The sequence below is a fragment of the Homo sapiens genome, chromosome 1 (assembly GCF_000001405.40).
Source record: "Homo sapiens chromosome 1, GRCh38.p14 Primary Assembly".
Taxonomy (NCBI): domain Eukaryota; kingdom Metazoa; phylum Chordata; class Mammalia; order Primates; family Hominidae; genus Homo; species Homo sapiens.
The window spans coordinates 61,547,614-61,558,382 of record NC_000001.11 but is presented as its reverse complement, the minus strand read 5'-3'; the positions used below and the strand labels follow the sequence as shown (position 1 = coordinate 61,558,382).

General features: G+C 41.5%; 1 long non-coding RNA gene across 3 annotated transcripts; it reads left to right on the top strand.

Annotated features, from left to right (window-relative positions):
- Positions 1–2,485: 2,485 nt before the first annotated feature.
- Positions 2,486–10,109, top strand: LOC105378766 (uncharacterized). 3 transcript variants are annotated; one of them, XR_007066144.1, is made up of 3 exons: positions 2,486–2,621; positions 4,803–5,030; positions 6,953–10,109. It is a non-coding gene; the product is annotated as an uncharacterized LOC105378766 (long non-coding RNA). The 3 variants fall into 3 exon arrangements; XR_007066145.1 differs by having other exon boundaries at positions 2,486–2,584; positions 6,953–9,106; XR_001738094.2 differs by having other exon boundaries at positions 4,208–5,030; positions 6,953–9,081.
- Positions 10,110–10,769: the final 660 nt, after the last annotated feature.

Below are 10,769 nucleotides of genomic sequence, written 5' to 3'. Positions count from 1 at the left end.
TCTAGCAACATGAATGCATCCTTGGACACCTGCTTCCAATATCATTGCTCTGCCTCATCTGGGCTCCTTTTGCACTTTGTACAACACCTCTATGATGACGCTTTAATAGCAGGTGGCAATTATCTGTTTATCTGCATCCTTGACTAGACCAAAGCCCACTTTTTGAATTGTTTGTTGTTTTTTTAAATCTCTGGTGCCTATATTGTTATAAAAAACAATGTGACAGAAGTCATTATTGTAAGGATAATGTTGAACGTGGGGGTGCCTGCATTATAAAGTGTTCTCTTTAGAAGGATCCAGTGAAAAAAATCTTCCACTCATCCCAGGGCCAGGTAAAACCATTTTGGTCCTGAAAAACTGGTATGCTTTCTTTAGCAGATTTATTTTTATCAGTTGTTGCCTTCATGAGTTCAGGCCGTTATAACAGAATACCGTAGATTGGGGTGGCTTATAACCCATGAACAGTTGTTGAGTTATTGATTTGGTCACTAGAAAGCTCAGAGCTGACGTCATGAACCTAAGCTTGAAAGCATTTTCAACGCATTAATTTTCTCATTCATTTTTAATTTTATTTCTCTTTCACCATAAATTCTTTATATTTGAAAAAAATCATGGTATTGAGATAGGACCATTTTTGACATTTGAAAAAAATCATGGTATTGAGATAGGACCATTTTTGACATGTTAATTTTTGAATTTTCTTCTCCTTTTTCTATGAATGCAGTTTACAGATTCTGTGCTTTCTTGCTTCAGAGCTGGTAAAATTATGGTTGACTTCTCCTTCTGAATTTGTTTGGAAATGTTTAAAGCCTTTAAGGAGGTTGAGCTAAGTGTCCTCGGTGGAGAAAAAAGGGTTCTAAGAGAAACGTGGAAAGGGGCAATTCTCCCACATTGTCAAGAGATTCCCAGAGTCTCTTTGTATCTGTGGGTTTAGAGAGAGCAAAGGGAGGCAGAACTCTAGAAAAGTAGAAAGACCCCAGGTAAGAACCATGGCCGTTCCATATGCTGGCCTAGGACTCTGAGCAGCAGGCATAACTTGGTATCAGCAAAGCCACTGGAGCTGTGTGAACTGGCACGGTGACTATCTCCTCATTACCAGGGCACTAAGCATCAGCGGAACCCCCTCAATGTCTTACAGTTATGTAGGACTCTGGAGCTTTTGTACTAATGTGAAGGAGGGAATCCTCAAAATGGCTGAGACTGAATTTCCCATCTACCCAGCAAGAGTGGGCTTAGATTAGAAATTAAGTTTGATTTACAGAAAATGAAAGAAATAATATTTCTTGCACATCTGAATTTTTAGACTGAGATTCATATTCACTACAATATTTGCTGAATTTGTGAAATTCAACCCCTATCCTTTTTGGAATGAGACAGTGTACAAACGGAGAATAAAATTGTTATTATCATGGAAAGAATATACGAGCTTTGTTGGCAGTTCTATCATTTTACTTCTGGACCTTAATTTTTTTTCCCTTAGGTTTCTCCAATTACCTCCCAACTGTCCTGGCAGGGCCTGGTCTTGTTTGCTTCAATGCACGCTTCACCAGCTGTCAGAATTGTCTTTTGCAAATGCAGATTGGTTTGGGTCACACTTCCTTGCTTAAAGTTCTCCATGAAATCCCATTTGGCCTCAAGATAAAGTCAAAGTATACAAAGGCCTACATCATTTGCTTCTTGTTTACCCCTGTAGCCTCATATTCTAAAAATATCCCACACTTCTGCCCACACTTGACTCTCAAGCAATAGTGTCCTATTTGCTGTTCTGTAAATGCATCAGGTCCCTCTTCTCTTCTCTTCTAGTTCTTGTTGCTTATGACACCTATCCACAAACTACCCCTACTCTTTCAGAACTCTTATCAGGCATCACTGTCATACAGGCAGCCTTTCCCAACTCTTCCCTCTCTACATGGATTAGGTGTGGTGTCCCTACGATGTGTTCCACAGGCATCCTAAGGTGACACATGCATCACTTACCAGTGATTTGAATGGCATGTGTCACAGTAAGAAAGAACATGAAAACATGTTTCCAATTGGGGTTCAGGTATCTACAGACATGTTTGGTGGATGGTAAAATGGAAACAGGAAGACATCACAGAGAGGGTCACTGGGTCTAGAGGAAATGGGGTGGAAGTCTGTCACTGTGGTCCACACTTAGCAACAAGGGCCTGAAGGCAGAGTGGTTTGGAGTACATTAAGAAGATGATCTCAGATATAACAGAGGCAGAGACTACTCAATTCTGCTCCAATATCCATTCTCCTTTTTTCCATTTTAGTGATTAAAAAGACCTCCAGGGTTTCAGAGGATTATATAGCCAGCCCACAAAAGATTACATTTTCCTAGCCTCCCTTGCAGCTAGGTATGGACATGTGACTAAGTTCAAGCCAACAGGATGTTAGTGGAAGTGACCTATGGAAACTTCCAAATAATTGCTTTAAAGACAAAGCTACTAACTCTGACTTTCTCTTTCCCCTTCCCACAGGCTCAAATGCAGATATAAACGAGGAATCCTGGATTCTTGAATGATCCTGTGGAGCACAGCAGACCTCAGGGTGAAGAGTTCACTTAACTCAACACTGTTAAGTGAGAATTAAGTAAACTTATGCTGTGTTTGGCTAAGGTGATTGTATGAGTCTTACTGAGAATGGGAACCCAGGGTGGGGTGCAGTATTAAAAGAAATGATGCCAGAGTGCATCTTCCGTAGTAGGTCCTGTGCTGTGTAAGAATCTTAGAGGATCGCTGGGCATGGTGGCTCACATCTGTAATCCCAGCACTTTGGGAGGCCAAGGTGGGCAGATCACTTGAGGTCAGGAGTTCAAGACCAGCCTGACCAACATGGTGAAACCCCATCTTTACTAAATATACAAAAATTAGCTGGGTGTGGTGGTGGGCACCTGTAATTACAGCTACTTGGGAGGCTGAGGCAGGAGAATTGCTTAAATCCAGGAGCCAGAGGCTGCAGTGAGCCAAGATCATGCCACTGCACTCCAGTCTGGGTGACAGAGTGAGACTCCATCTCAAAAAAAAAAAAAAAAAAAAAGGGAATCTTACAGGATCCTATTAAGGACTCACTTTGAGTCCATGAGAAGCTCAGCATTTAGACTTCTGCCATAAATAGCTACTGACCTCCAAGGAAGGAAGGACCAAATAGACCCACTTAAATAGAAGAATTTTATTCCCTCTTCCCCACCTGTTTTTAAGGCCCAAAAATAGTGGAGAAGAAAAGGAAAGCCAGGAGAGGAAGGAAGAAAAATGAAAGAGAAAAGCACACTCCCTTAGTTAGGAGGAAGAGAATTAAGTTGGATATGAGTTTGAAGTTTTAAACTGGATCAATTGTATTATACTGAATATTTTTATACCCAAAAATAACCATAAAGTTTTACCTAAAATATCATTTAGGGGAGGGAAGGTGAGCTCACCAGAACTTTTTTAGGAGCAGTCACTGGAAGAAATAATTTTTTTTATGTTTGAACTCTACTGAGTTTAGACCATTCAATAAACTGGTTACAAAAAAAAAAAAAAAAACCAAACAATAACAAAATATTCCATCTAGAATTATAATTCTAGCCATCCTCCTACTCTAATTTTACTGTGGCCCTCTGCTTTATGAAAGGAACAGCACATGAAAAGGTGAAGGAGAGAGAAATGAATTGGTCAGAGAGAGAGGTAAATATCAGAGGTCTACAGTCAGGAAACCCCAGTGGCATTAGAGGCCAAAGACCATGTTGGGGCCTTTCAGAAAAACACTGTGTGGTATTGGAGGGTAAATACTTCTGCACCACTCTTGAGGTTCTAAATTTTGTGGGCTGAGCTTGATAAGAGTGACACTCTTGGCCTCCCTCTGCTCCTTTATTCACTCCCTTCCAGGAGAGCTGGAAAAACTTAACTGATCTGTAAATTTGGGCAGAATAAACTGGGCATAGTCAGCTCAGTTTCTTCCTTATTCCTTCTGAGAGTAAGCTCCCCGAGTCACACACTGTGTTCTACCTCTCCATGACAAATCGCCTAGGAAACTGATCCTCCAAGGGGAAATCTGCAGAGGGGCTTCAGTCCTTCCTGGGACTGGGTGGCCAAGTAGGCCTGATTCAAACAGTAGAAGGTGCACGAGGCCACGGGTAAAAGCTAGGTCCTTCAACTTAGTTTTGTCAGTAACGAAGATGCTATCTTGGCCTCTTTCCATGTTAGTCCTTTGTCTTATTTCTCAGGGGGTTCAGATCTTGTGTAGAAGAGAGGATTAACATTACTGAGCCCTCTCAGTCCAATCCAGAGGGCATCAATATGGTTGAGCAGAATAACAGCACACTCTAGACAACAGAAACAACAGCCAGAGGACTGAGAAGGGAAAGACGATTGGGAAACAGCTCAAATAATATTCAAGACATTCCAACCCCACCTTGGAACTCCCAGAGAGATGCAAAAAAAGAAGGTGATGTAGATATGCCATATGGCAGGTAAGGAATAATACTAGAACAGATTTAAAGTTAAATTCTTAAAGTGACTTCACCCCACCTTCATCAGCTAAGGGAAGATTCAGCCTGCAATAATCAACAAATACTTGAAGACCTCCTGACAGGTAAATTATACTATCCTGGGTGTTTTATAGGACTTTGGGGAGAGGTAATCTAACACCCAATAAGTTTATTGTCTAATACAATTTAATGAAATGTCAACTTTTCTTCCGCCATGGAAACCACATTTTTCCTCAGAGGTTTCCACTCAAATTCTTTCCCGTTTTACCCCTCCTTGCGTTATTGGTTCTGTAGCCTAGTGGAAAAGGTATGATATTTTATTTGTTTAAAGGAATAAACCAGTGAGATCCAGCTGAACTATTCAAATGACACTGAAGGACTGAAGATTCTCAAGGATGCAGGGTTTTGAAGATGTTCACAAATCAATATAAAGAAATAGAGATGAGAAGGCGGAACAAGATGGCTGAATAGAAGCCTCCAGCGATTGTCCCTCCCACGAAACACCAAACAGAACATCTATCCACAGAAAAAAAGCATGTTCATAAGAACCAAAAATCAGGTGAGTGACCACAGTCCCTGGTTTTAACATCATATTAAGAAAAGGGGCACTGAAGAGGGTAGGAAAGACAGTCTTGAGTCAGCTATACGATCCTTCTCCATCCTCTAGCAGTGGCCTCATGGAACGAAGAGAGAATAGGGGAGTGAGAGAATGTTGAGGGAGTGAGAGCACAGTGGGGAGTGAGAGCACACTGATTGTGGGACTTTGCATTGGAACTCAGTGCTGCCGTGTCATAGCAGAAAACAACACAAGGTAAAACTCAGCCAACACCCAAAGAGGGAGTATTTAGACCAGCCCTAGCCAGGGGCAAATTGTCCATCTTGGTGATGAGAACTTGAGTTCCAGCAGATCCTGCAACCATGGGCTAAAGCACCCTGGGATCCTAAATAAACTTGAATGGCAATTTAGGCCGCAAGAATTGCAATTCCTTGGCAAGTCCTGGTGCTGTGCTGGACTCAGAGCAGTGGACTTGGGGTGCACATGACCTAATGAGATACTAGCTGGGGTGGCCAAAAGAGTGCTTGCATCATCCCTTCCCCAGCCACAGGCAGTGCAGCTCAGGGAGAGACTCCTTCTCTCTGCTTGAGGAGAGGAGAGGGGAGAGTAAAGAGGACTTTGTCTTGCCACTTGGATATCAGTTCAACCACAGTAGAATAAGAAACCAGGAAGAGTCCTGAGGTCCCCCATTCCAGGCTCTAAATCCTGGAAGTCATTTCTAGCATACCCTGGGCCAGAAGAGAAACTATTGCCTTTGAAGGAAAGGAGCCAGGCCTGGCAGAATTCATCACCTGATGACTAGAGAGCCTATGGGCCCTGAATAATTAGCAGCAGCAGCCGGGCTGTATTTGCTATAAGCCTTGGGTTAAACTCAGAGAAATGCTGGCTTCAGACGTAACCCAGCATATCTCCAGCTGTGGTGGCTATGGAGCGAGACCCCCTCCCTCCTTGAGAAAGGGAGAGGGAAGAGTAAAGGGGACTTTGTCTTGCAGCTTGGGTACCAGCTTTACCAAAGTGGGGGTAGGGCAACAAATGGGCTTCTGGGGTCTCTAATTCCAGGACTTGGCTCCTGGATGGCATTTCTATAACTGCCCTGGGCCGCAGGGAAACCCATTTCCCTGAAGGGAGAGGCTCAGGACTGACACCACAAGTTGATTGAAGAGTCCTTGGGCCTTGAGTGAACATCGGCAGTGGCTAGGAAGTACTTGCCATGGGCCTGGGGTGGTGGTGGCCATGGGGAGAGACTCCTCTGCTTCAGGAAAGGGGAGGGAAGAGTGGGAAGGACTTTGTCTTGTGGCTTGGGTGCCAGCTCAGCTGCAGTAGAATGGAACACAGGGTAGATTCCTGATTCCTGACTCCAGGCCCTAGCTCCCAGACAGCATCTGTCAACCCACCTGGGGCCAGGAGGATCTCACCATTCTTAAGGACACAATCTTGGCTGGATTTGCCACCGCATGATTGTAGAGGCCTTGGGCCTTGAGTGAATATAGATGGTAGCCAGGCAGTGATTGCTGCAGGCCTTGGGCAAGACCCAGTGCTGTGCTGATGCACAGCACAGTCCCAGTGGTGATGGCCATCAGGCTGCTTATGTCACCCCTCCCCCAGCTCCAGACAGCTCAGCACAGAGAAAGATTCTATTTTTTGGGGGGAAAGTAAGGGAGGAGAACAAGAGTCTCTGCCTGGTAATCCAGAGAATTCTTCTGGATCTTACCCAAGACCACCAAGGCGGTACTTCTACAAGTTTGCAAGAGCCATAGTGTTACTAGACTTGGAGTACCCCCAGTGCAGATACAGCTGCAGTGATCGAAGACAGATCACAACATCCAAGTCCCTTCAAATACCTATAAAACCTTCCCAAGAAGGATGGGTACAAACAAGTCCAGACTGTGAAGACTACAATAAATACCTATCTCTTCCATGCCCAGACGCTGATGAACACCCACAAGCATCAAGGCCATCCGGGGAAACATGATGTCACCAATGAACTAAATAAGGCACCACGGACCAGTCCTAGAGAGACACAGATATATTACCTTTTAGACTGAGAGTTCAAAATAGCTGTTTTGAGGAAGCTCAACAAAATCCAAGATAACACAGAGAAGGAAATTTAACAAAGAGATTGAAATAAAAAGAATCAGCAGAAATTCTGGAGCTGAAAAATGTGATTGACATACTGAAGAATGTATCAGAGTCTCTTAACAGCAGAATTGATCAAGCAGAAGAAAGAATTAGTGAGCTTGAAGACAGGTTATTTGAAAACACACAGTCAGAGGAGACAAAATAAAAAAGAATATAAAAGAATGAAGCACACCAACAAGATCTAGAAAATAGCTTCAAAAAGGCAAATCTAAGAGTTATTGGCCTTAAAGAGGAGGTAGAGAGGGAGATGGGGGTAGAAAGTTTATTCAAATGGATAATAATAGAGAACTCCCCAAATCTAGAGAAACATATCAACATAGTACAAGAAGGTTATAGAGCACCAATTTAACTCAAATAAGACTACCTCAAGGCATTCAATAATCAACTCCCACAGGTGAAGGATATAGAAATGATCCTAAAAGCAGCAAAAGAAGCAAATAACATACAAAGGAGCTCCAATTCGTCTGGCAGGAAACTTCTCAGTGGAAATCTTACAGACCAGGAGAGAGTGGCAAGATTTAAAGTGCTGAAGGAAAAAAATTTTATCCTAGAATAGCATATCTAGTGAAAATATTCTACAAACATGAAGGAGAAATAAAGGCTTTCCCAGACACCCCCCGCCAAAAAAAAAGATTTTATTAACACCAGACCTGTTCTACAAGAAATGCTAAAGGGATTTCTTCAATCTGAAAGAAAAGGATGCTAATGAGCAATAAGAAATCATTTGAAGGTACAAAACTCACTGGTAATAGTAAGTACACAGAAATACACAGAATATTATAACACTAATTGTGGTGTGCAAACTACTCATATATTGAGTAGAAAGACTAAAAGATGAACCTCTCAAAGAATCATAACTACAACAACTTTTCCAGACATAGAGAGTATAAGAAGATATAAATAGAAACAAGAAACAAGTAAAAGTCAAAAAGCAGAGGGATAAAGTTAAAGTGCAGAGTTTGTATTAGTTTTCTCTGCTTGTTTATTAGTTTGTTTATGCAATTAATGTTAAGTTGTCATCAGTTTAAAATAATGGATTATAAGATATCATTTGCAAGCTTCATGGTAACCTCAAATCAAAAAACATACAACAGATACACAAAAAGTAACCTTCCACCTAAGAAAATCACCTTCACTGAAAGGACGACAGGAAGGAAGGAAAGAAGGAAGAGAAGACCACAAAACCAGAAAACAAATAACAGAATGGCAGAAGTAAGCCCTTACTTATCAATAATAACATTGAATGTAGATGAAATAAACTCTCCAATCAAAAGACAGAGTGAGCCAGGCACAGTGGCTCATATGTGTAATCCCAGCACTTTGGGAGGCGGAGGTAGGAGGATCTCTTGAGTCCAGGAGTTTGAGACCAGCCAAGGCAATATAGGAAGACCCAATCTTTCCAAAAAGGAATTAGCCAAGCATGGTGGCATGCACCTGTGGTCCCAGCTACACAGGAGGCTGAGGTGGGAGAATCACTTGAGCCAGGGAGTTTGAGGCTGCAGTGAGCCATGATTGCACCACTGCACTGCAACCTGGGCAACAGAGGGAGATCTTGTCTCAAAAAATAAAAAAAGACATAGACTGGCTATATATGCCAATCAGTTGGGAAATCCGGAAGAAATGAATAAATTCTTAGACACATATAATTTATCAGGATCGAACCATGAAGAAATCCAAAACCTGAACAGACAACGTGTAACAAGACTGAGGCCATAATAAAAAGTCTTTCAGCAAAGAAAAGCTCAGCACCCAGTGGCTTCACTGTTGAATCTTACCAAACATTTACAGAAGAACTAACACCAATCCTACTCAACCTATTCTGAAAACTAGAGGAGGAAAGAATACTTCTGAACTCATTCTATGTGGCCAGTATTACCTTGATACAAAAACCAGACAAAGACATGTCAAAAGAGAGAAAGAAACAAGAAAGAAAGAAAGGAAGAAAGAAAGAAAGAAAGAAAGAAAGAAAGAAAGAAAGAAAGAAAGAAAGAAAGAAAGAAAGAAAGAGAAAGAAAACTACAGGCCAATATCCCCCTGATGAACACTGATGCAAAAATCCTCCACAAAATACTAGCAAACTGAAATCTACAACAAATTTAAAAGATCATTCTTCATGATCAAGTGGCATTTATCCTAAGGATGATTCAATAAATGCAAATCAATTTATGTGACACATAACATCAACAGAATGAAGGACAAAAGCCATATGATGCTGAAAAAGCACTTGACAAAATTCAAGATCCCTTCCTTCATGATAAAAATCAAAATCCTTAAAAATCTGGGTACACTAAGAGTTTGAGACCAGCCTGGGCAACATGGCGAAACCATGTCTCTACAAAAAAAGAAAAAAAAAATTAGCCAGGCATGTGGGCATGTGCCTGTACTTCCAGCTACTCAGGAGGCTGAGGTGGGAGAATCCCTTGAGCCTGGGAAGTGGAGGTTGCAGTGAGCCGAGATTGCACCACAGCACTCCAGCCTGGGTGACAGAGTGAGACCCTGTCTCAAAAACAAACAAACAAAAATACAAAAAAAACTGGGTACAGAAGGAACGTACCTCAACACAATAAAAGCCATCTACAGCAGACACACAGCTAGTATCATGTTGAATTGGGAAAAACTGAAAGCCTTTCCTCTAAGATTTGGAACGTGAAAAGGATGGCTACTTTCACCACTGTTACTCAACATAGTACTGGATGTCCTAGCTAGAGCAATCAAACAAGAGAAAGAAATAAAAGGAATCCAAATTAGAAAGAAAGAAGTCAAATTATCTTTGTTTGCAGATAATATGCTTTTATATTTGGAAAAACCTAAAGACTCCATCAAAAAACTATTGGAACTGATAAACATGAATTCAATAAAGTTGCAGGATACAAAATCAACATACAAAAATCAGTAGCATTTCTATATGTCAACAGTGAACAATCTGAAAAATAAAACAAAAAAGTAATCTCATTTACAATAGCTGCAAATAAAATTAAAAGCCTAGGAATTAACCAAAGAAGTGAAAGATCTTTACAATGAAGACTATAAAAATTAATGCAAGAAATTTAAGAGAACACACAAAAAATGGAAAGATATTCCATGTACATAGATTGGAAGAATCAATATTGTTAAAATGTCGATATTACCCAAGGCAATTTACAGATTCAATGCAATCCCTATCAAAATGCCAATGACATTCTTTGCAAAAATAGAAAAAATAATCCTAAAATTTATATGGAATCACAAAAGACTCAGAATAGCCAAAGCTATTCTAAGCAAAAAGAACAAAACTGGAGGAATCACATTGCCTGACTTCAAATTATATTTTATAGAGCTACCATAAAGCCCATCTTGCCTTCCGCCTGGCAACAGACTTGGGGCTGTTGGCAGGGGCACGGTGGGAGACTACCCTTTCAGTTTGCATAGGAGCTAGGTGAGGCCTGTCACTGCCAGCTTTCCCCCACTTCCCTGAAAACCTGCATGACCTAGGCACCATAATCCTCCTAGGTACACAACTCCAGTGACCTGGGAAACTTATCCCCATCCCCTACAGCAGCCACAGAAAGACCCACTCAAGGAGAGTCTGAACTCAGACAAGCCTAGCTCCACCCCCATCTGATG